Below are 27,094 nucleotides of genomic sequence, written 5' to 3' on the forward strand. Positions count from 1 at the left end.
GGATAGGCAAACCCATATCCAGAGTAAGTTCTATTCCAGTGAGGATGAACCTCTGCGCTTTCTGTGATAGAAGAGGTCCAATATAATCAACCTGCCACAGCTGGCTGATCACCTTGAGGAACGGTGCCATATCGAGGGCTCAGTGTTGGTCTCTGCTGCTGGCAAATTGGGCACTCAGCAATGGCCGTAGCCAGGTCAGCCTTGGTGAGTGGAAGTCCATGTTGCTAAGCCCAAGCGTAACCTCCATCCCTGCCACCATGGCCACCTCGTTCATGGGTCCATTGTGTGATGACGGGGATGGCTAGGGAAAGAGGCTGAGTGGTGTCCACAGAATGGGTCATCCTATCTACTTGATTATTAAAATCCTCTACTGAGGTCACCTGTTGGTGAACATTCACATGGGATACAAATATCTTCACAGTTTCTGACTACTCAGAGAGGTCCATCCACATACCTCTTCCCCAGATTTCTTTTTCACCAATTTTCCAATCATGCTTCTTCCAAGTCCCTGACCATCCAGCCAAACCATTGACTACAGCCCATGAATTAGTATATAATTGCACATCTGGCCATTTCTCCTTCCATGCAAAGTGCACAACCAGGTGCACTACTTGCAGTTCTGCCCACTGGGAAAATTTCCCTTCACTGCTGTCCTACAGGGATGTCCTAGAAAGGGGTTGTAGTGCTGCAGCTGTCCACTTTCGGGTGGTGCCTGCATATCGCGCAGAGCCACCTGTGAACCAGGCCCTAGTTTTCTCTTCCTCTGTCAACTGATCCTGGGGCACTCCCCATGAGGCCATCAGTGCAGGCTAGGGGAGAGAAGGCAGGGTGGCAGGAGTGGAGACCATGGGCATTTGAACCATTTCCTCATGTAACTTATTTGTGCCTTCAAGACCTGCTCAAGCCTGATCATGTATATTCCACTTCCATTTGATGATGTAATGCTGCTGTGTATGATCCCCTTTATGGCTAGATGGGTCAGAAAGCACCCAGCTCATGATAGGCCATTGAGGTCGCATGGTGACTTAACCCATAGTCAAACGTTCAGTTTCCACCAAAGCCCAGTAACAGGCCAAGAGCTGCCTCTCAAAAGGACAGTAGTTATCTGCAGAAGATGGCAGTGCCGTGCTCCAGAATCCCAAAGGCCTCCGCTACGATTCACCTAAGGGGGCCTGCCAAAGGCTCCAAACAGCATCCCTATCTGCCATTGACACCTCAAGCACCATTGGATCTGCTGGGTCATATGGCCCAAGTGGCAGAGCAGCTTGCACAGCAACCTGGATCTGTTGCAGAGCCTTCTCCTGTTCTGGACCCCACTCAAAACGGTCAGGTCACTTGATAAATGTGCCGGAGTAACACACCCAAATGAGGAATATGTTGCATCCAAAATCCAAGTAGGCCCACTAGGCATTGTGTCTCTTTCTTAGTTGTAGGAGGGTCCAAATGCAGCAACTTATACTTCACCTTAGAAGGAATATCTCGACAAGCCCCACACCACTGGACTCCTAGAAATTTTACTGAGGTAGAAGTTCCCTGAATTTTGTCAGATTTATTTCCCATCCTCTGGCACACAAATGTCTCACAATAAGTCCAACGTGTTTGCTATTTCTTGCTCACTGGATCTAAGCAGCATAATGGTCATCAATGTAATGGACCAGTGTGATATCTTGCAGAAGTGAAAAGTGATGAAGGTCTCTCCAAATAAGGTTATGACACAAAGCCAGAGAGTTGATATACCCCTGAGGTAGGACAGTAAAGATATATTGTTGGCCTTGCCAGCTGAAAGCAGATTGCTTCTGGTGGGCCTTATGGACTGGAATGGAGGAAAAGGCATTTGCAGAGTCAGTGGCTGCATACCAGGTACCAGGAGATGTGTTAATTTGCTCAAGCAATGAAACCACATCTGGTAAAGCAGCTGTAATTGGAGTCACCACTTGGTTAAGCTTACGATAATGCACTGTCATTCTTCAAGATCCATCTGTCTTCTACACAGGCTAAATGGGAGAGTTGAATGGGGATGTGATGGGAATCACCACCCGTACATCTTTCAAGTCCTTGATGGTGGCACTAATCTCTGCAATCCCTCCAAGGATGCAATATTGGTTTTTTGTATGTATGTTTGTTTGTTTGTTTTGAGACAGAGTCCCTCTCTGTAGCCCAAGCTGGAGTGCAGTGGAGTGATCTCAGTTCACTGCAACCTCTGTCTTCTAAGCTCAAGCAATTCTCATGCCTCAGCCTCCCGAGTAGTTGGGACTACAAGTGCGCGCCACCACACCCAACTAATATTTTGTACTTTAGTAGAGATGGGGTTTCACGGTGTTGCCCAGGCTGGTCTCAAACTTCTGAGCTCAGGCAATTCACCCACCTTGGCCTCTCAAACTGCTGGGATTATAGGCATGAACCACTGCACCCGGGCACAATAGTTTTTTAGTTTACTATTTGTCTAGGTAGAGGCCACGCTAATGGCTTCCATCTGGCCTTTCCCACCGTAATAGCCCTCTCCCTACCAGTCAGGAAGCCAATGTGGGGGTTCTGCCAGCTGCTAAGTATGTCTATGCCAATTACGCATTCAGGCAATGAGGAAATGACCACAGGCTCAGTCAGATGACCCACTGTAAGTCAGACCTGAGCTAAAACTCCATTAATTGCCTGACTTCCATAAGCCCCTGCATTAACTGGAGGGCCACAATGACATTTTGGGTCCCCTGGAATCCACATCAGCTCAGAGCCAGTGTCTAGTAGTACCCAAAATGCCTCATCATTTCTCTTTCCCCAGTGCACAGTTACCCTGGTAAAAGGCCGGAGGTCTCCTTGGGGAAGGATGGGAGAAAGATTCACTGCATAAATTGTTGGTAATGTAGTAGGGTCCTTCTTTGGGGGTACCTGGCCTCCCTCCATTCAAGGGGTTCTAGATCTGTAAACTGGTTCAAGTCTGGAAATTGATTCGGGGCCATGATTCTCTGTTTTTATAATTCAAACAAGTCTTTTATCCGTTCAACCTAGAAATTTTCTGCTTGTATAAATTAAGTAGGAATGCAGTAGGCTTCCTATCAACTTAACCTCTAGGAACACCATGATTACTTAGCCAGTGCCAGAGCTCTACATGAGTCAGACTATTCTGATTGCCACTTTGCCTCCGCTGTCCATTATGGTAGGCCCATTTTGCCTGTGACAGTTGAGTGCTGCCACCTGGCCCCTGCCACCTTGGGATCCAGTTATTTCCATTGTATTTAAATTTTGTAGTTGAGTGACTGTGGTTCCCACTGTTAGATCTGGCATACAGAAAAGAGCAGTTACAGGGCTCTTCAAATTATAGGCCATCTTCAAAATGCAGGTGTTGCCCTCACAAATCTGTTTTGCAAGGCATTGGTCAAGGGTATGTCTTCTGGACCCTCCCAGCTGGGATGAGTAGGTCTAAAGTGACTAATCCATTCCACCATCCCAATCTCCCTAAGCCTTTGGATCCCTTCCTCTACATTAAACCAAGGGAGATCAGGCATTTCCTCTCACAGTGGACCATCTTTTAATCCATATTTCAGCTAACCAAATAAACTATTAGAACCTTTTTTAACTCCCCAAGCTGCAATATTAAATGCAGAGTCCCTACTTAGTGGGCCCAAATCAATAAATTCAGCCTGACCCAACTCTGTGTTTCTTCCACCATTGTCCCAGACCCTTAATATCCATTCCCATCCTGTTCTCCAGATTTCTGTTTATATAAATTAGAAAACTCAAGCAGTTCTTTTCAAGTGTAGCACACCTCCTTATGAGTCACACTCTCAACCTCACCTCTAGGGGCCCGCTGGGACTTTAGCCTAGTTATAGGTCTAGAAGCAAACGGGTGTTGGGGTGGGTTCTGAGGAGAATCAACATTATCTTGCCTGGCAACTGCCTCAGGAGATAAGACTGTCACTCAGGGCAGTCATAGCAGATTTCAAGCTCCATATCTGCTTCTGAAGCTGGGAGATGGAATCCCTAAGTTCATCATTTTCTTTCATCACTTTGTCCACCAAACTTAGGAGCGACCAACCAGCTTCATTATGTTCCTGTAGAGAAAGAGCTGGAATTGTGGAAAAACAGACACAAGTTCTTATCATGCAAGTGGCTGTTCCGCAATGAAATATGCATGCACAGCCTTGCCAGGTGTCTACTGTTAAAGTGAGGGCATTTATTGGAAAATAATGAGACCCTGCAACTTGGAATAGGGACATGGGGGAGGACCCTGATGAAGCTGGGGACACTGAGTTTGTGAACTCTGATGAACCTCTTTTGCCAGAAAGAACACCGTCCCCATCCCCAGTCATGTCAGCATCCCCTCCCCGACCCAAGCTGCCATCAGCCTTTCCACCTTTGTCTGAGGAGATACATGCTGTGCTGCCTGAGACAACACTGATGGCCTCCCCTGAGGCAGTTGCCAGGCAGGATAATGTTGATTTTCCTCAGGACCCACCCCCAACACCCTTGTTTACTTATAGAGCTGTAACTAGACTAAGGTCCTGGCAGGTCCCTAGAGGTGAGGCTGAGAGTGTGACCCATGAGAAGGTGCACTACACTCGAAAAGAACTGCTTGAGTTTTCTTTATTATTATTATACTTTAAGTTCTAGGGTACATGTGCACAACGTGCAGGTTTGTTACATATGTTACATGTGCCATGTTGGTGTGCTGCACCCATCAGCTCATCATTTACATTAGGTATTCCTCCTAATGCTATCCCTCCCCCCTCCCCCCACCCCATGACAGGCCCCATTGTGTGATGTTCCCCACCCTGTGTCCAAGTGTTTTCATTGCTCAATTCCCACCTATGAGCGAGAACATGCAGTGTTTGGTTTTCTTTCCTTGCGATAGTTTGCTCAGAATGATCGTTTCCAGCTTCATCCACGTCCCTACAAAGGACATGAACTCATCCTTTTTTATGGCTGCATAGTGTTCCATGGTGTATATGTGCCACATTTTCTTAATCCAGTCTATCATTGATGGACATTTGGGTTGGTTCCAAGTCTTTGCTATTGTGAATAGTGCCACAATAAACATACATGTGCATGTGTCTTTATAGTAGCATGATTTATAATCCTTTGGGTATATACCCAGTAATGGGATTGCTGTGTCTAATTTATACAAACAGAAATCTAGAGAACAGGCATGGGAATGGATATTAAGGGTGTGGGATAATGGTGGAAGGAACATAGAGTTGGGTCAGGCTGAATTTATTGATTTGGGCCCACTAAGAGGGAAGGGTGCAGGATTGAGAAGGAACTTCAGAGATGATAGAATGTTCTTTCATCACCCAGGTACTAAGCCTAGTACCTAATAGTTATTTTTTCTACTCATCTCCCTCCTCCCACCCTCACCCTCAGTGGGCCCCAGTGTCTGTTGTTCTCCTCTTTGTGTTCAGGTGTTCTCATCATTTAGTTCCCACTTACAAGTGAGAACATGTAGTGTTTGGTTTTCTGTTTCTGCGTTAGTTTGCTAAGAATGATGGCTTCCAGCTCCATCCATGTTCCTGCAAAGGACAGGATCTTGTTCTTTTTTATGGCTGCATAGTAGTCCATGGTGTGTATATACCACATTTTCTTTATCCAGTCTACCATTGATGGGCATTTAGGTTGATTCCCTGTCTTTGCTATTGTGAATAGTGCTGCAATGAACATATGCCTGCATGTGTCTTTATGGTAGAATGATTTATATTCCTTTGGGTATACACCCAGCAATGGATTGCTGGGTGAAATGGTAGTTCTGTTTTCTGAAGACCTGATAGGGGCTGTATAATTACAAAAATGTTTTTATAATTACTTGAGAATATGTAACAGCAGATTTACTCATGTGTCTGTTTTATCTTAGACAAAATGGAAAAAGCCAATTTTCTGGGATTATTTGCCATTCAAGTTTCTGCTTGTTCTTAATCAAGCAAATCATTACCTATGTCTCTTTGGTGGGAATGTCATGAACCTCAAACAAACTGTGTGCCTCCAGAAGAGCTGGAATGGGTACATGGCATAGACTTTCTAGTTGGAAGAGTCAGAGTACATGTAGGTAATAGGAATCCTGGAGATAGATTTCTTTCATGCAGCACCTCTAGGAGCCTATGCCACACAGACACTCTTCATCTCTGAAGCAAGATGTGGCTTGCAGCATTTCCCAGGTATATTTTCCCATGGAACCGAATTTTCCACACCCCAAAACTTTTTTTCAGTACTTATTTCATGAGAGGAAATAACAGATAAAGCATGGGCTTTGAGTTCAAACCTTTCCAGATTTGAATTTCAACTTTACTACTCTCTACTTTTTCATCTCAAGCCAGGAACTTTGCCTCTCCAACTCTCAGTTTCTTCAGAGGTAAAATACCTGTTGTAAAGATCAAGAGCAATTAGGCAAGAAAAGAAATACTTAAAACAATGCCTGGTGCGCAAAAAAACACTCACTCAGTGGCTGCTGTTGCAGCTACTACAGCAAAATAATCAATACCAGAGCTGTATCTCCCTCTCACATATTTTCTCTGACTTTCAGACATGGGTTTTTAGCTGCCTGTTTTCTGTTCACGTATGTGTTCCACAGAGACCTCGAATTCAGTATGTATACCCAAAATTTATATAATCTTCTTTTATATCTTCTCTGGTTGATATAACCACATCCAGTCAACTGCTAAATCTGGTCAGCTGTGTCTCCTAAATATATCTCACATCCATTCACCTCTCCTCAGTTTTAAGACTGTGTCATAGTTTGCCTGGGCTGCTACTGTTGTCTCTCTGGAGTTCTTTCTATGTTACCAACCTGGCTTCTGCATTGCAGCCCAGATGCTCAGTCTAAACACTTAGGGGATCATGCTGCTTCTCAAGTTTGAACTTTCAGAGCCTCTCTAAGGCCCACAATAGGGTTTTTCAAACTTGCTAGCCCTAATACCAGTTGAAGTCCTTAAAATTATAGATTCCTGGACTGTCTCCGGGAATCCTTTCCTCTAGAGATTCTGATCCAGATGATCTTGGGTTTGGCCCAGGATATTTCCATTTTAAGTAAGCTGCCAGGTACTACTAATGGTAGTCAAATTTGGAAATTCTTCACACGTAAATAATCCACACTGTGTTGCATGGCACCTCTGGCCAGCTATCCAGTACTCTTTTTTTTATTTTATTTTTATTTTTATTTTTTTGGAGACAGGGTCTCACTCTGTTGCCTAGGCTGGGAGTGCAAGGCTGCATGCAGCCTTGACGTCAGCAGGCTCAAAACAATCATCCCACTTCAGCCTCCTGAGTCGCCAGGGCTGTAAATGTATACCATCATGTCCAGCTAATATTTAAGTTTTTGTAGAGACAGGATCTCGCCATATTTCCAAAGCTGTTCTTGAACTCCTGGGCTCAAGTGATCCTCCTGCCTTGGTCTCCCAAAGTGCTAGGATTACAGGTGGAGCCATTGCATGCAGCCTCTAGTACCCTCTTAACTCATGCTCTGAGCTTCCCCATACAATAAGCTACATCATCCTTTAGAAAGTCTGCACTTTGCACTCTCTCCTCCTGGAATACCTTTTTCTTCATCTCTAATTACCCCTTACCAAGTGGCAAAAGCCTTGCAGTCTTTCAAGAACCTGTTCCAGTACCTCCTTCAGGCAGCCTACCCTCAATCCAGTAGTTTGTCGGTGCCCCCCGCCACCTTTTTTTTTTTTTAGATGGAGTCTCGCTCGTCACCCAGGCTGGAGTGCAGTGGCACGATCTCGGCTCACTGCAGGCTCTGCCTCCCAGGTCACGCCATTCTCCTGCCTCAGCCTCCTGAGTAGTTGGGACTATAGGCACCCACCACCACACCCGGCTAATTTTTTTTTGTATTTTTTGTATTTTTAGTAGAGACGGGGTTTCACCTTGTTAGCTAGTATGGTCTTGATCTCCTGACCTTGTGATCCACCCGTCTCGGCCTCCCAAAGTGCTGGAATTACAGGCATGAGCCACCGTGCCTGGCCTTGTCAGCCCCTTTCTATGCAATTATAGCATTTTCACATCGTGGTGCAATTTGTGGTTTATGTGTGTCTCTGTTCCACCAGACTTGAGGACAGGAATTATTTCATTTCTATAGCCTCAGCATTTAGCTCGGTTTCTGCAAAATGATAGAAGTTAGTGAATGTTTGTTGAAAAAATAAAAGGGAAAGAGGAAGGCTAGAAAGAACCCTTGCATTATACCAGTAGTTACAAAAATGTTACTTGGAGTCCTGAAGTGTCTCAAGGAGAACTGGTGGTCAGAGTGGAGGCCTAACTATGGAGGATTCCTGCATTATCCCCCTCTCCTGAAACCCTCACCTCTGATTCAACCCAAGAAAATCTGCTTCTTAATTTTTTATATGTTGGTGAACAGAGTAAGGTTCTGTTGAAAAGAAGAGAAAAGCTGACACTATGTATACATATGTAACTAACCTGCACATTGTGCACATGTACCCTAAAACTTAAAGTATAATAATAATAAATTAATTAAAAAAAAAACAGCTTAAAAAAATAAATTTGGAAACCATAGCCCTGGACCATCGTTTGCCTTTATAAAACCCCTTTTTTGTGTGTATTTCTGCTTTCTGTGCTTTAAAATAAAGTGGGAAAACTTAAAGAATTTGAGAAATAAAGCCAAGTGATCTAAATTGGAAAATGAATCTATGAGGGGATATTAGATATTTCCTACTCTGTTGGGTCATACAGTGTAGTATAACCTTGGGGCTACTTGCTTATTTTCAAGCACCTGGCAGGTTATCATGAGAGAGATGCTAAGCAGTTGGCATCCATATTCATGGAGGACCGAATGAGGAACATAAAGATTAAATTGAAAAAGTTGGGAGAATTCCTCTAAATTTATTTGAGAAAACTGCTTCCGTTTCCAAAACAGAGTCTTTAGGATGTACCCTCGTTGAGGATAAGAAACTCGTCTCTGCCTTAGTGCCGGGCATGGGCTGATACCTCATTGGCAGTCACCAAACATTTGTTGAAGGGATGCATGAATTGCCATCAGTGAAGGCATGTACAAAACGCAGTGCCATCCAAGAATTACAAATCTCAAAAAAGGTAGTTATCTTAAAATTAAGACACCATTAGACTTGTCACAGATTGAAATTATGGGATTCATTTGTAAGAACTTGATCAATAATATGAAATTAATGTAACTTCATATGCTATTGTCTATAGTTCATCATCATAAAAACAACTAAAGGTAGAGTAGTTGTCTTGTAATATTGCTTACTGAAGAGTAAGAATTAACCATCTCTTTTTCTCTTGAAAGAGATCAGATAGTAACTTAGAAAGATGGTTTCTCATTCATATTAAAGAATTACTCATATAGAGGTGTGAGTGTTTATGAAATCTCATGAGTAAATTTGACTCTCTTGGCCACAGTTTCTGTTACACCTTTGAAGAATACGAGTACTTGCTCTTGCTCTAGTTGCCAAGTAGATTCAATCAGCATTTATCCAACTATGTTTCTACAGACTCCATTGCCTTACACAAAAGTGGGTTGTGGGGTAAAATGTCACCTGTCCCCTTAATTCTTAAAACATATACCACCATTTTAAGCCTCTGAAAAGTCCTAGAGGGTAGAAACCTGTCTGTGTTCAATACAATATTTCCCAACAATATTTTGCCACTTTTTTTGTAAAACAGCTATTGACAAATCATGGGAACATTGGATAGATTATTTGTCTTCAAATAGTTTGAATATTAATGGAAAGCAGAATTTATTTATCATACCCATTGTAGAAGCTAGCAAAATATATAAATAAACGGGTATATAAACAGGTGTGATAGATAAATGAAATAATTTGTGTATGCCCAAAGGCCTCTGAAGTGAAAAAAACAGTTATTTTGAGTGTTAAAAATTGTCAAAAAGGCCAGGTGAAACTAGAGTATGAAAGTCTTGAGGAAATGTAAAGCTCAGGTTGGCACTGTGAGAACTAAACTTAAGGGCTTCCTTTCATTATTGAGGAGAAAAAGAGAAGTTCCTATGTTCTGATAGAGCCAGCAAGCCTATTTACCTAGATATTTGCTTCATCTACCATTTTATTTTTGGACAAGACCTTGGTGTAAGTCCCTCCAAATAGTACCCTGCTATGGGCAGCTCCAAAAAGCAGCCTGTTGGGGAGGTGTCTGCTTTTGAGAGATTCACAGAGCGTATAATGTGAGGATGAGAGCAATTGTATGTTTTCCTTCCGAAGAATAGTACAGAAGTTATGATAGATTCTCTTGAAAATCCCTTCGAAAGACATAAACTTCCTGAAACCTACTTTTATACTCATGTATCTGTGAAGGCATATTATCACATTATCAGATAATTGGGGATTGTTATATGCATGGTATACATATTAGTTAGATCAACTTCTGTAACAAAAAATATATTATGGTTCAAACACAATAAAAGTGTATTTTCTTGCTTTTATAACAGCCCTAGGTGGGTGAATTTGCAGTTATTAAGGTAGCCTTCATCCACACATTCATTTAGGGACCAAGACTAATGGATAATCTGCCATCATCAGTACATAGCACCAAGGTTGTACTAGGGGTCATCTTCACTCCAGGTCTCTAGAAGGGGAAAAAGCATGAAGGCACATATATAAGAAGTTTTTAGGACTAAGCCTAGAAATTGCACACATCACATTCATTCACATTTTGGTGTCTAGAATTCAGTCACATGGCTCCACTCAACTGCAGTGGGGGGAGGGCTAAGATGTATACTCTAGCTGTGTACCCAAGAAGAAACAGAAAACATGGATTTAGTGAGCATCTGGGGGACTGTGTCTGTCACAACATATTTGATGCTTGTTGGTCCTTTGTCACCAAATTAGAAGGTTGATTTGTGCTATCTCATTTGCTCCCTCCTGGCTCATGGATGTTTCTGCATAGTGTGATGGTGATGTACCCGTCCATTTCATGGTGACCCTCATTAGCAAACTTCCACATACCACACAGAAGTTCTTCAGGAAATGTCCACCTTTTTTCATTCAATATTTATTGAGCACCTATTATAGGGTTGGGCTCTTAGAAGTACTAGAGGTACAGAGGGGAACAAATGTCCTTATCCTTGGGATTTTATTCTCTTGTGTAAGAGAAAGACAATAAACAAAGAAAGAAAATAATTAGTTTGTGCTACATGCTGTAAAAAAGTGAGTAAGTAAAGGGAAGAGGTAAAGGAGTACTGCTCTTGCCAACATATCAAAGTTGGCTTCTCTAGGAAACTGGCATTTAGGCTAAGATCTGAAGGATGGCAGTGAGCCAGCCACTTGGGCTGAAAGAACAGCATTCCAGAGAAAACAACATGCACAAAGGTCCTAAGGCAAGAATGAGCTTGGCATGTTCAAGAAACTTGTATCTAGGACACCAGTGTGTGTGTGGAGAATAAGCAAGAAAGGCTCATGTGAGATGAGATGGGGCTGTAAGATAGGCCGAGTCAATTGTTTCACACAAGGCCATGCAGATCTTGGAGAGTTTACGTGTTATCTGAGAGTAAGAGTAAACCACGAAAAAGTTTGTTGTTTGTTGGTTTTCTGTAACAGCCTTTTGTAACATAATTCACATACTATAGAGTTTACCCATTCAAAGGGTACAGTTCAGTGGCTTTTATTATGTTAGAGTTATGCAACCATTTCCACAGTCCATCTTACAACAGTATCATCAACTCAAAAAGAAATCCCATACCATTTAATAGTCACTCCATTTCCTCCAGACCCCCAGCCCTAGGCAAACACTAATCTATTTTCAGTCTCTGTAGATTTGCCTATTGTAGACGTATCATAAAAATGGAATCATACAGTGTGTGGTCTTATGTGATTGGCTTCCATTACTTAGAATATTGTTTTCAAGGTTCATCAACATTTTAGTATGTGTCAGTACTTCATTACTTTTATGGCTGAATAATATTTTGTTATTTGGCTATATCTACCACATTTTATTTATCCACTTGTCAGTGGATATTTTGGTTGTTTTCACCTTCTGGCTATTATTAATAATGCTATGAACATTCATGTACAAATTTTTGTGTGACCATATGTTTTTATTTCTCTTGGATATATACCTAGGAGTAGAATTTCTGGGTCATATGGTTTCTATGCTAACCTTTTGAGGAATTTCCAGACTGTTTTTCCAAAGTGGCAGTACCATTTTGCATTCCCATCAGCTGTGTATGATGGTTCCAATTTCTCCATTTCCTTGTCAGCACTTATGATTATCTATCATTTTGAATAAAGCCATTCTAGAGGTGTGACGTGGTACCCTCATTGTGCTTTTGATTTGCAATTCCCTGATTACTAATGATGCCGAACATCTTTTCATGTGTTTATTTGCCATTTGTGTATTTTCTTTGGAGAAATATCTATTCAAGTTACCCACTTTTGAATTGTCTTTTTATTATTGAATTTTAAGAGAACTTTATATATTATAGGTACAAGTCCCTTATCTGTATATGATTTATAAATATTTTTGCCCATTCTGTGGCTTGTTTGTTGCTTTGTTGATGGTGTCTTTTGATGCACAATAGTTTTTTACTGTAATGAAGTCCCTTTTTTTGTTGTTGCTTGTGCTGTTGGTGTCCTTCCTACCTAAGAAACCATTACTTAATTCAAGGTCATGAGAATTTATACCTATATTTTCTTTCTTTTTTTTTTTTTTAATAACAAGTGGTGCCAATATTTTAATCCAGTCAGATTAACTTAGTTTAAATTAAAAGTCAGATTTTTGAAACTCACATAATTTCCTGGAGAGTTTTTTTTTTTTTGACAGTTCCTAAGGGGTATAATTTATTGAAGCCCTATTACATAGCAGTTGGCATTTTACATACATGTCACTTAGTAATCATCACAGCAGTTATAATAAAGATGTATACCTATATTTTCTACTAAGAATTTTGTAGTTTTAGCTCTTATATGTAGATCTATGATTCATTTTTACTTAATTTTTACATATGGTGTGAAATAAAGGTCCAGCTTCATTCCTTTGCATGTGAATATCTAGTTGTCCCAACACTGTTTGTTGAAATACTATTCTTTTCTCCACTGAGTTGTCTTAACACCCTTGTAAAAAATCAGTTGACAGCATGAAAAGGTTTTAAGCTGGGAAAAGATATGATCTGATTCGTATTTTAAAAGGATCAGTCTCTCCAAGAATGGCTTTTAGAGAGGCAAAAACGGAAGTAGAGCTGGGAAGCTGTTAGAATAATCCAAGTTAGTCAAGTAATGGCCAAGACTAGTGGCAGCAAAGGAGATGGCAAGCTTTATAAAGATTGAAGATACTTTGGGAAGACAATTGTCTTGACTCTATGTTTTTGCCACTTTTTCACTTGTCTGTGTCACAGCTGTCTTTTCTACCTTTCCCCATTACATTTTCTCTTAAATGGTCTTGAGAATTTTTTTCTGTTATTTTTGGAAGTGGTTTTTTTTTTTTTTACTTTACTGTTTTTTATTTCCTGTCTGTGATAAAACTCACAACTTATTTGTATCTACACTGTTACTAAAACCACAGCTTATTTGTATCTACACCTATTGTTTCCTTCTTCACTCTTTCCTGGATTCTATCCCTCTTCACCTACTCAGTGATTTTCCTTTGCCAGTTATATCCTGTGTCTTCAGTAGTTCTCCTTCTATAAGCCTTGTCCCATTAGATATAAATTTTCTTAGGTGTATCCCATCTTTTTTTGAGTCAGGTTTTTTAAATGTAATTTATACACAGTAAAATTCACCCTTTTTAATGCATAGTTCAGTGAGTCCTGACAAATGTATATAGTTGTGAAACCATCACCACAGTCAAGAAATAGAACATTTCATCACTCTCAAAAAGTTCCCTCATGTACCTTTGCAGTCAGTCCCTACCCTTCTTCCCCAGCCCTAGCAACTGATTTGATTTCTGTTCCTATAGTTTTGTCTTTTCCAGAATGCAACATAAATGGAGACATAGAGCCTATGGCCTTTTTTCATTGAGTTTTTTCATTTAGTATAATGCTTTTGAGATTCATCCATATTATTATACATCCCAGTAGTTTGTTTTTTAAAATTGTGAAATGATACTCTACTATGTAGATTATTCATTTATCCCCCTGATGGATATTTGGGTTCTTACATGTTTTGGCCATTGTGGATAATGCTGCTATAAATATTTATATATAGATCTTTGGGTAAATTTTTTCATTTCTCCTGAGTAAACACATAGGAGGAGAATTACTGGGTCATTTAGTATGTATATAAGAAACTGTCAAGCTGTTTTCCAAAGTGGATGTACCATTTTGCATTCTTACCAACAGTTTATGAGAGATTTAGTTCTAGTTACTTGACATTCTTACCAACCTTTGGTATATTCATTCTTCTTTTTTTTTTGAGACGGAGTTTCTCTCTTGTTGCCCGGGCTGGAGTGCAATGGTACAATCTCGGCTCACTGCAACCTCTGCCTCCCGGGTTCAAGTGATTCTCCTGCCTCAGCCTCCCGAGCAGCTAGGATTACAGGCACAGGCCACCATGCCCAGCTAATTTTTGTGTTTTTAGTAGAGACGAGGTTTCACCATGTTGGCCAGGCTGGTCTCGAACTCCTGACCTCATGTGATCTGCCTGCCTCGGCCTCTCAAAGTGCTGGGATTACAGGCGTGAGCCACCGTGCCCGGCTGGTATATTCATTCTTTAGTTATAGCTATTCTAGTAGGTGTGTGGTGGTATCTCACTGTGGTTTTTGTTTTCTGTTTTTTTTTTTTATGTGTGTGTGTGTGTGTGATGGAGTTTTGCTCTTTTGCCCAGGCTGGAGTGCAGTGGGGCGATCTAGGCCCACTGTAGCCTCCGCCCCCTGGGTTCAAGCGATTCTTCTGTCTCAGCCTCCTGAGTAGCTGGGATTACAGGCACCCGCCACTATGCCTGGCTAATTTTTGTATTTTTAGTAGAGACAGGGTTTCACTATGTTGGCCAGACTGGTCTCAAACTCCTGACCTCAGGAGATCTACCTGCCTCATCCTCCCAAAGTGCTGGGATTACAAGTGTGAGCCACCACACCCAGCCCTCACTGTGTTTTTAATTTGCATTTCTCTAATGGTTAATGATATTTTCTTGTGCTTATTTGCCATCTCTGCACATCCTTTGGTGAAGGGTCTGTTCAAATCTTGTGTCCATTTTTTATTTGAATGTTTATTCTTATTGGACATTTTGTATGTTCTCAATCCAATTTTTTCTTAGGTGAATGTTTTGTGATTATTTTCTCTCAGTCTGTAGCTTGTCCTTTCATTTTCTCACCAGTATCTTTTAAAAAGAAAGCTTTTAATTTATGTAAAGTCTAATTTATCATTTTGTTGTGATTTGTGATATTTGCTTAATAATCTGGGGCGACAGAAAGTTTTCTACTATGTGCTAAATGTGGAAACAAATGTGAACAAGATATACAAGATACTTGTCTTCATTTTTCACTGAGTTGTCTTCTTTCACAGTTTTAGCTCTTGTATTCGAGCCTGTGATACATTCAAGTTAATTTTTATAAGCAAGGGTCAAGGCTTAGTTTTTTTCATATGGATTGTTCAGCACCATTTGCTGAACGTACTATACACCCCCCCTTGATACCTTTATTTGAAATTAATTGACTATGTGTATGTGGGTTATCCCATATTTTAACAAAGACTCCCTCAACCCCACATGCCCATTTAACTAAAAATGCATCACTTCCACCTCTTCACAACCATTCTTTAAAGTGTGGTCTAGACTGTGCTTCATCATTTCTTTCCTACTCCTCACACTGGCATCTTTCTCTACCATTTCATTAAAACAGTTCTTGCCAGAATCACCAGTGATCTGTGTTCGAGAGTTTTGTCCTTGTTACATGTGACTCTCAATGGTCTTGGACCTTGTTGACCCCTCCCTCCTCTTTCAGACACTTTCTTCACTTGACCAGTGCAACATCTCACCATCCTTCATATTTTTCTTCTGTTTTTCCATTTGCCCCATGCATCTACTTTGATAGTTTTTCTTTTACCCGTTTCTTAGATGTCATTGTCCCTCAGCAATCTGACCAAAGCCCCTTTTCTCTTTGTTCTTTGCATGTTCCCTGCTTATTCCCATTTGTTCCCCTGGCTGAAGAATCTCAAATTTATATCTGACCCAAATCTTTCTGAGATTCATTTCTGCATGTCTAACTGCCTACCAGGACCATAGCTGTATGAGGAAAAAGTACCTTGTATATGTCTTGTTCACATTTATATTCACATGCCAAGCACACAGAACTTAATAACAATTTGTAGACGGACCAAATGAATACACGAACAAACTAAACTGATACTACATATATTCCATGAGTACATGACCAGAGGCACAAAATAAGTAAGTTACTTTTGGAATCACATGCTTTGTCTTCACCATGGCACAGTTTTCCTTTACAGTTGGTAGTAAATCTTCGGATAAAGAGGTGGGAATGAGATTCTGCGCAGGGGCAGGAAGGAGATGCGAGAGTAAAGAGACATTTCTCCAAATGTTGCAAACACTGTTTCTAAGGTTTTCTAGTCCAATAATTGTAATTTCCTCCTGAAATTACGTATATTATTTGGAGAATAAAGTATTTAATGGCTCTATTAAATTCTGATTGTAGCTTTAGCTATAACACATCATTTCTTTTTGAATTTCCACCAAAATTTTTATAAGTTGCTGTAACATTTTTTTTCTGTCTGGATCTCTTTTTATTATTATTATTATTATACTTTAACTTTTAGGGTACATGTGCACAATGTGCAGGTTTGTTACATATGTATACATGTGCCATGTTGGTGTGCTGCACCCATTAACTCGTTATTTAGCATTAGGTATATCTCCTAATGCTATCCCTCCCCACTCCGCCTACCCCACACCAGTCCCTGGAGTGTGATGTTCCCCTTCCTGTGTCCATGTGTTCTCATTGTTCTATTCCCACCTATGAGCTGTAACATTTTTTAAGACCTAAAGCAAGCTTGTCCAACCTGTGGTCCACAGGCTGCATGCAGCCCACGATGGCTTTGAATGCAGCCCAACACAAATTCGTAAACTTTCTTAAAACATCGTGAGATTTTTTTTATTTTTATTTTTATTTTTTAGCTCATCAGCTACCATTAGTGTTAGTGTATTTTATGTGTGGCCCAAGACAGTTCTTCTTCTTCCAATGCGACCCAGGGTAGCCAAAAGATTGGACACTGCTGCCCTAAAGTGATTCTCAAGAGTTATATAAAACAGCACTCCCCAATGTTTTTGGCACCAGTGACCAATTTCATGGAAGCCAATTTTTCCATAGACTGATGGGTGGAGGTGGTGGTGTGGGATGGTTTTGGGATGAAGCTGTTCTACCTTAGATCATCAGGCATTAGTTAAATTCTCATAAGGAGCATACAACCTATATCCCTCCACAATATTGTGAAGTTCACAATAGGGTTTGTGCGCCTGTGAAAATCTAATGCCGCTGCTGATCTGACAGGAGGCAGAGCTCAGGTGGTAATGCTTGTCCACCTGCTGCTCACCTGCTGTGCGGCCCAGTTCCTCACAGGCCACAGGCCCGTAGCAGTCTGCAGCCCAGGGTTGGGGACTTCTGATATAGAAGATGTAAATTTGGTAATGTAGATTCTTTCAGCTCTAATATGATGAAGGTTTTATGATGATCTGAGTGCTCACATCAAAGAATGTATATGCTTGTTATGGATTTCGCATCATGCTGTTGTTTTGGGAATATCTGGGAGAAATATAAGATACAGTACTCCTTGCTGCCCTCAGGGAGCACACACCTTCAAACAGATAAAACACACAGCTACAATCAGCAAATAAACAGAAGCACCTATCAGGCAGTTTGTAGTTTCCTTTGTATGTTACTTGGCAGGAAAAAAGAGGGTGTCCTGCCACTAGACGTGTGTTTTTGGCCTTGCTTGTCACTGCAAGCTGTTATGTAAATATGTTTAGTGTTTTTCCGTATCTGCCCTTTTTCTTTGTTCTGGAGTGTGTTACTCACATTTCTCTATATCTTTCTTTCCTACATTTCAGTGAGCGGTTTCTGGTAAGACTGAACAAGAATGGTGGGCCGAGGAACCCAGAGAAGATAGAACGAATGTGTGCCCTTTTTACAGTATGTACGAATTCTCTTTTTCTTCTTTGCTGTTGACTCTAACCAGTGGCCTGCTATGTGGATACTGTCACCCTGGAAACAAGCATTTAGTCTTATTTCCATATACACTGGGGAGAATAGGACTTGATTTATGTTTCTATTAGGTTTTAATGAAATATTTATAGAAAACTGAAATTATATACAGTTTTAAACTTAATTTTTATTAATGAAATATAATCAAGTACCTTTCACTGATACAGATTTTATAAGCTATTTCATATAATAGACACTTAAAATCTGACAGAACCAGCCTGGACAACATGCCAAAACCCAATCTGTAGAAACAATTCAAAAATTAGCTGGGCATGTGGCGTGTGTCTGTAGTCACAGCTACTTGGGGATGTGAGGCAAGAGGACCGCCTGAGCCCAGGAGGTTGAAGCTGCAGTGAGCCAAGGTTGCACCACTGTACTCCAGCCTAGGTGAAAAAGTGAGACCAGACCCTGTCTCAAAAAAAAAACAAAAAAAAATATGACATAGGTCTTTCTTACTGTTCTTATCCAAGGCCACTGGGAATTTCTCTGAGCTGTATAATTTCTGATGCATAATTTATTTTAAAGGTATCCACCAAGTTTACAGCTTTGTAGTTTGTTAGTGAGTTCATATACAGCAAGACAAACTAAATAGTCCTCTTCCAAATACTAATTGGGGGATTTTTTCCTACTGTGATCTGTACTTTTCTTTATATATATACTTTAAGTTCTAGGGTACATGTACACAACATGCAGGTTTGTTACATAGGTATACATGTGCCATGTTGGTTTGCTGTACCCATTAACTCGTGATTTACATTAAGTATTTCTCCTAATGCTATCCCTCCCCCTGACCCCACACCACAACAGGCCCCCATGTGTGATGTTCCCTGCCCTATGTCCAAGAGTTCTCAATGTTCAAGTCCCACCTATCAGTGAGAACATGCAGTGTTTGGTTTTCTGTCCTTGTGATAGTTTGCTTAGAGTGATGGTTTCCAGCTTCATCCATGTGCCTGCAAAGGACATGAAATCATCCTTTTTTATGGCTGAATAGTATTCCATGGTGTATATGTGCCACATTTTCTTAATCCAGTCTGTAATTGGTGGACATTTGGGTTGGTTCTAAGTCTTTGCTATTGTGAATAGCGCCTCAATAAACATACATCTCCATGTGTCTTAATAGTAGCATGATTTATAATCCTTTGGGTATATACCCAGTAATGGGATCACAGGGTCAAATGGTATTTCTAGTTCTAGATCCTTGAGGAATCGCCACACTATCTTCCACAATGGTTGAACTAGTTTACACTCCCATCAACAGTGTAAAAGCGTTCCTATTTCTCCACATCCTCTCCAGCACCTGTTGCTTCCTGACTTTTTAATGATTGCCATTCTAACTGGCGTGAGATGGTATCTCATTGTGATTTTGATTTGCATTTCTCTGATGACCAGTGATGATGAGCATTTTTTCATGTGTCTCTTAGCTGCATAAATGTCTTCTTTTGAGAAGTGTCTGCTCATATCCTTTGCCAACTTTTTGATGGGATTCTTTGTTTTTACTCTTGTAAATTTGTTTAATTTCTTTGTAGATTCTGGATATTAGCCCTTTGTCAGATGGGTAAATTGCAAAAATGTTCTCCCATTCTGTAGGTTGCCTGTTCACTCTGATGGCAGTTTCTTTTGCTGTGCAGAAGCTCTTTAGTTTAATTAGATCCCATTTGTCAATTTTGGCTTTTGTTGCCATTGCTTTTGGTGTTTTAGTCATGAAGTCCTTGCCAATGCCTATGTCCTGAATGGTACTGCCTGGGTTTTCTTCTAGGATTTTTATGGTTTTAGGTCCAACATTTAAGTCCTTAATCCATCTTGAATTAATTTTTGTATAAGGTGTAAGGAAGGGATCCAGTTTCAGTTTTCTACATATGGCTAGCCAGTTTTCCCAGCACCATTTATTACATAGGGAATCCTTTCCCCATTTCTTGTTTTTGTCAGGTTTGTCAAAGATCAGATGGTTCTAGATGTGTGGTGTTATTTCTGAGACCTCTGTTCTGTTCCATTGGTCTATACCTCTGTTTTGGTACCAGTACCATGCTGTTTTGGTTACTGTAGCCTTGTAGTATAGTTTGAAGTCAGGTAATGTGATGCCTCCAGCTTTGTTCTTTTGGCTTAGGATTGTCTTGGCAATGTGGGCTCTTTTTTGGTTCCATATGAACTTTAAAGTAGTTTTTTCCAATTCTGTGAAGAAAGTCATTGGTAGCTTGATGGGGATGGCATTGAATCTATAAATTACCTTGGGCAATACGGCCATTTTCACGATACTGATTCTTCCTATCCATGAGCATGGAATATTCTTCCATTTGTTTGTGTCCTCTTTTATTTCGTTGAGCAGTGGTTTGTAATTCTCCTTGAAGAGGTCCTTCACATCCCTTGTAAGTTGGATTCCTAGGTATTTTATTCTCTTTGTAGCAATTGTGAATGGGAGTTCACTCATGATTTGGCTCTCTGTCTGTTATTGGTGTAGAGGAATGCTTGTGATTTTTGCACATTGATTTTGTGTCCTGAAACTTTGCTGAAGTTGCTTATCAGCTTAAGGAGATTTTGGGCTGAGATAATGGGGTTTTCTAAATATACAATCATGTCATCTGCAAACAGGGACAATTTGACTTCCTCTTTTCCTAATTCAGTACCCTTTATTTCTTTCTCTTGCCTGATTGCCCTGACCAGAACTTCCAACACTATGTTGAATAGGAGTGGTGAGAGAGGGCATCCCTGTCTTGTGCCAGTTTTCAATGGGAATGCTTCCAATTTTTGCCCATTCAGTACGATATTGGCTGTGGGTTTGTCCTAAATAGCTCCTATTATTTTGAGATACGTTCCATCAATACCTAGTTTATTGAGAATTTTTAGCATGAAGGGCTATTGAATTTCGTCAAAGGCCTTTTCTGCATCTATTGAGATAATCATGTGGTTTTTGTCATTGGTTCTGTTTATATGCTGGATTACATTTATTGATTTGTGTATGTTGAACCAGCCTTGCATCCCAGGGATGAAGCCAACTTGATCGTGGTGGATAGGCTTTTTCATGTGCTGCTGGATTCGGTTTGCCAGTATTTTATTGAGGATTTTTGCATCGACGTTCATCAGGGATATTGGTCTAAAAATCTTTTTTGTTGTTGTGTCTCTGCCAGGCTTTGGTATCAGGATGATGCTGGCCTCATAAAATGAGTTAGGGAGGATTCCCTCTTTTTCTGTTAATTGGAATAGTTTCAGAAGGAATGGTACCAGCTCCTCTTTGTACCTCTGGTAGAATTCAGCTGTGAACCCGTCAGTCCTGGACTTTTTTTGGTTGGGAGGCAATTAATTATTGCCTCAATTTTAGAACCTGTTATTGGTCTATTCAGGGATTCAACTTCTTCCTGGTTTAGTCTTGGGAGGGTGTATGTGTCCAGGAATTTATCCATTTCTTCTAGATTTTCTAGTTTATTTGTGTAGAGGTGTTTATAGTATTCTCTGATGGTAGTTTGTATTTCTGTAGGATCGGTGACGATATCCCCTTTTTCATTTTTTATTATGTCTATTTGTTTCTTCTCTCTTTTCTTTATTAGTCTTGCTAGCGGTTTATCAATTTTGTTGATCTTTTCAAAAAAACAGCTCCTGGATTCATTGATTTTTTGAAGGGTTTTTTGTGTCTCTGTCTCTTTCAGTTCTGCTCTGATCTCAGTTATTTCTTGCCTTCTGCTAGCTTTTAAATGTGTTTGCTCTTGCTTCTCTAGTTCTTTTAATTGTGATGTTAGGGTGTCAATTTTAGATCTTTCCTGCTTTCTCTTGTGGGCATTTAGTGCTATACATTTCCCTCTACACACTGCTTTGAATGTGTCCCAGAGATTCTGGTACGTTGTGTCTTCATTCTCATTGGTTTCAAAGAATATCTTTATTTCTGCCTTCATTTAGTTATTAACCCAGTAGTCATTCAGGAGCAGATTGTTCAGTTTCCATGTAGTTGAGCAGTTTTGAGTGAGCTTCTTAATCCTGAGTTCTAATTTGATTGCACTGTGGTCTGAGAGACAGTTTATTGTGATTTCTGTTCTTTTACATTTGCTGAGGAGTGCTTTACTTCCAACTATGTGTTCAATTTTGGAATAAGTGTGATGTGGTGCTGAGAAGAATGTATATTCTGTTGATTTGGGGTGGAGAGTTCTGTAGATGTCTATTTGGTCCACTTGGTGCAGAGCTGAGTTCAATTCCTGGATGTCCTTGTTAGCCTTCTGTCTCGTTGATCTGTCTAATGTTGACAGTGGGGTGTTAAAGTCTCCCATTATTATTGTGTGGGAGTCTAAGTCTCTTTGTAGGTCTCTAAGGACTTGCTTTATGAATCTTGGTGCTCCTTAGCTCTTCTTGTTGAATTGATTCATTTACCATTATGTAATGCCCTTCTTTGTCTCTTTTGATCTTTATTGGCTTAAAGTCTGCCTTATCAGAGACTAGGATCGCAACCCCTGCTTTTTTTTTTTGCTTTCCATTTGCTTGGTAGATCTTCCTCCATCCCTTTATTTTGAGCCTATGTATGTCTCTGCACATAAGATGGGTCTCCTGAATACACCACAATGATGGGTCTTGACTCTTTATCCAGTTTGCCAGTCTGTGTCTTTTAATTGGGGCATTTAGCCCATTTACATTTAAGGTCAATATTGTTATGTGTGACCTGAGGGACCTGACTGTTAAAAGGAAAACTAACAAACAGAAAGGAAGAGCATCAACATCAACCAAAAGGACATCCACACCAAAACCCTATCTGTAGGTCACCAGCATCAAAGACCAAAGGTAGATAAAAACACCCCACTGTCAATATTAGACAGATCAATGAGACAGAAGGTTATAGGTAGATATTTGATCTTGTCATTTTGATGTTAGCTGGTTATGTTGCCCATTAGTTGATGCAGTTTCTTGCTAGCATCGATTGTCTTTACAATTTGGCATGTTTTTGCAGTGGCTGGTACCAGTTGTTCCTTTCCATGTTTAGTGCTTCCTTCAGGAGCTCTTGTAAGGCAGGCCTGGTGGTGACAAAGTCTCTCAGCATTTGCTTGTCTGTAAAGGATTTTATTTCTCCTTCACTTATGTAGCTTAGTTTGGCTGCATATGAAATTCTGGGTTGAAAATTCGTTTCTTTAAGAATGTTCAGTAGTGGCCCCCACTGTCTTCTGCTTATAGAGTTTCTGCCAATAGATCCACTGTTAGTCTGATGGGCTTCCCTTTGTGGGTAACCTGACTTTTCTCTCTCGCTGCCCTTAACATTTTTTCCTTCATTTCAACTTTGGTGAATCTGACAATTATGTGTCTTGGAGTTGCTCTTCTCAAGGAGTATCTTTGTGGCATTCTCTGTATTTCCTGAATTTGAATGTTGGCCTGCCTTGCTAGGTTGGGGAAGTTCTCCTGGATAATATCCTGCAGAGTGTTTTCCAGCTTGGTTCCATTCTCCCCGTCACTTTCAGGTACACCAATCAGACGTAGATTTGGTCTTTTCACATAGTCCCATATTTCTTGGAGGCTTTGTTTATTTTTACTTTTTTTTTCTCTAAACTTCTCTTCTCACTTTATTTCATTAATTTTATCTTCAATCACTGATACCTTTTCTTCCACTTGATCAAATTGGCTATTGAAGCTTGTGCATGTGTCATGTAGCTCTCGAGCCATGGTTTTCAGCTCCATCAGGTCATTTAAGGTCTTCTCTACACTGTGTATTCTAGTTAGCCATTCATCAAATCTTTTTTCAAAGTTTTTAGCTTCTTTGAGATGGGTTTGAAGATCCTCCTTTAGCTCGGAGAAGTTTGTTATTACTGACCTTCTGAAGCCTACTTCTGTCAACTCATCAAAGTCATTCTCCGTCCTGCTTTGTTCCATTGCTGGTGAGGACCTGCAGTCCTTTGGAGGAGAAGAGGTGCTCTGGTTTTTAGAATTTTCAGCTTTTCTGCTCTGGCTTCTCCCCATCTTTGTGGTTTTATCTAACTTTGGTATTTTATGCTGGTGATCTACAGATGGGGTTTTGGTGTTGATGTCCTTTTTGTTGATGTTGATGCTATTCCCTTCTGTTTGTTAGTTTTCCTTCTAACAGTCAAGTCCCTCTGCTGCAGGTCTGTTGGAGTTTGCTGGAGGTCCATTCCAGACCCTGTTTGCCTGAGTATCACCAGCGGAGGCTGCAAAACAGCAAATATTGCTGCCTGATCCTTCCTCTGGAGGCTTCATCTCAGAGGGGCACCCACCTGTATGAGGTGGTAGTCAGCCCCTACTGGGAGGTGTCTCCCAGTTAGGCTACACGAGGGTCAGGGACCCACTTGAGGAGGCAGTCTGTCCATTCTCAGAGCTCAAACACTGTGCAGGGAGAACCACTGCTCTCTTCAGTGCTGTCAGACAGGGACGTTTAAGTCTGCAGAAGTTTCTGCTGCCTTTTGTTCAGCTATGCCCTGCCCGCCTAGGTGGGGTCTACAGAGGCAGCAGGCCTTGCAGAGCTGTGGTGGGCTCTGCCCGTTGGAGCTTCCCCAGCCGCTTTGTTTACCTACTCAAGCCTCAGCAATGGCAGGTGCCCCTTGCCCGCTACGCTGCTGCCTCGCAGGTCGATCTTAGACTGCTGCACTAGCACTGAGCAAGGCTCTGTGGGCATGGGACCCGTCCAGGATATCCCAGGCACAGGATGTAATCTCCTGGTGTGCCATTTGCTAAGACCGTTGTAAAAGTGCAGTATTTGGGCGAGAGTGTCCCGATTTTCCAGGTACAGTCTGTCATGGCTTCCCTTGGCTAAGAAAGGGAAATCCCCCGACCCATTGCACTTCCCAGGTGAAGCGATGCCCCACACTGCTTCGGCTTGCCCTCCTTGGGCTGCACCCACTGTCCAACCAGTCCCAATGAGATGAACCAGGTACCTTAGTTGGAAATGCAGAAATCACCATCTTCTGCGTCGATCATGCTGGGAGCTGCAGACCGGAGCTGTTCCTATTCGGCTATCTTGGAACAGAATCCCCTTGTTTCTGTACTTCAGTTTTTTCTGAAAAGCCATACTGTTGTTCATGGTCTGTACAACCATGGACCAATCAACTTAGAAAAGGTTTGGAAATCTGCTGATTGGAAAATACCAAACCTCACAATCCCACCTTGCCATGTGTGTTCTTCAAGTTTATTCTGATTTACTAATTTGTTTTTACCTTGTTAAAAACTATCCAGTGGTATTTATTTGAGTTAATTTATTTGCTGTAGAAGAAAACAAGACTGTGTCACAATTTTCAACCAGTTTTGATTATTGTGGATTCTTTGATCTGTTTCAGTGATCCTGAGATACATCAAAACCTATTGGATAGTTTCACAGTGTCACTGACCTTGCTTATGGTGTGTGATTGATGGGACAGATATCGCAAAGATTACATTGGGCCTCTTAAATGCAAATGGGATTTATCTGGAGATCTGATACATGACTTTCTATAAAAGCTGCAGTTATATTTGTTCACCTCACTTTTTAGTTCATTACTGCAACTTTATCTTTCAGAACATCAAATGATGTTACTGCAGAATCAGAAACCACTTTCACAGGGATAGCTTTTATTGATAATGCTCCAGATGTATGGAAAGATTTATAAATCTAGCTAAGCTTAAATAATATGTTGTCCATCTTTGAGCTTAGCAGTAAAGGCTTAGGAGATAATGCAAGGAGAAAGAACAGGAAGAGCAGACCCATGATGGCGGTTAAGGGAGTTAAGATGGCTTAGTCTGGGAAGATCAGCACTCTGTCTTCAATTGGAAAAGAATGAAAGAAAGAATCTAAATTGTAGTAAATGGGATTTAGGTTAGTCTATTGGCTGAGAGCTTCTGAAGTGAGAGTTCCTGAACACTGAGGTGGTTTTGTAGGACCTCCTTTCTGAAACAGAATTAGTAAGAGACACCCACCTTCTAGAATGTCTCAGTAACCTTAGGAGGTTTTTCTAAATTCTGATTCTCTGATATTTCCTGGTAAAGCATCAGGAGAAATTGTTGATTCCTTGTTTCTTGGATTTGTGGGAACAGAGCTGCGTGCATGTACTGTCTTTGAATTCTTGAATATGATGAGTACAGTCTTTGACTTTTTAAAAATGAACTTAATTAGGGTGGCATTTGAATGTAATTACAGTAAATTAAAATTTTCATTTAGCATTTTAATTATCCATATGAGCCCAGAGGCCAAAGCTATAGCTCCAACTTTATTGCACATAACATGCATGATGTGCTCTTGTTCTGCCACAATGGGAAGGCACAGGGTGCTAAATATGCTATTAATACTTCCATAATTCTGTTTGTAGTGCAGCCCTGAATTTATTTATTTTTTATTTTTTATTTTTGCAGTCAGGGTCTCACTCTGTGGCCCAGGCTTCAGTGCAGTGGCCTGATCATAGCTCACATAAAAACCTTGAACCTTTGGGCTCTAAGCAATCCTCCTGCCTCGGTCTCCTGAGTAGTGGGGCTATAGGCGCACACCATGCTTGGCTAATTTTTTTTTTTTAAGAGATGGCGTCTTGCTATTTTGCCCAGGCTGGTCTTGAACTGCTGGCCTCAAACAACCCTCCCACCTTGGCCTCCCAAAGTGCTGGGATTACAGGTATGAGTCACTGTACCCAGCCCAGCCCTGCCCTGGATTTTTTAAAAAGGTCCGAAACATGATTTGAGGATTTTTTACAAAGCACACAAGATTTCTGAACAAGATTATCTTAGCCAGGATTTTTATGTTTTACTTTAAGCTCTATGAAATTATATAGGTGGGACCTGTTTTCTCATTATCTGAGACTTGAGTTCTTCCTATGAGCTAAAGGAGTTTCCTAGATTGATGTGTGTGCTGCAAAGTCTCAGAGTAAATGCAAGAAAATGTAGCCACAACTATGGTTGATGCTGACCTTTTAGCTTACCTTAGAATAGGGAAAAGGGAATCATACAAACTGAGCAGATTACGAGGTTACTCAGCACACTTCAGAGCCACATTAAAGTCACATTATTTGGCATGGCCTTTATTCTCTTTGAGGCCTTAGTTTTTCTGACT

The 27,094-nt window shown here is 40.8% G+C and overlaps 1 protein-coding gene across 22 annotated transcripts in view; it reads left to right on the forward strand.

Annotated features, from left to right (window-relative positions):
- DOCK3 (dedicator of cytokinesis 3) overlaps positions 1-27,094 on the forward strand; it is a 709,272-nt gene that overhangs the window by 453,665 nt on the left and 228,513 nt on the right. For all 22 annotated transcript variants that reach the window (XM_005264914.4, NM_004947.5, XM_006713010.4 and 19 more), the window contains exon 10: positions 17,958-18,039. In XM_005264914.4, the coding sequence (XP_005264971.1) occupies positions 17,958-18,039 (82 nt within the window). The remainder of the gene's footprint in view (positions 1-17,957; positions 18,040-27,094) is intronic.

Source organism: Homo sapiens, chromosome 3 (assembly GCF_000001405.40).
Source record: "Homo sapiens chromosome 3, GRCh38.p14 Primary Assembly".
In the NCBI taxonomy this organism is placed as follows: Eukaryota; Metazoa; Chordata; class Mammalia; order Primates; family Hominidae; genus Homo; species Homo sapiens.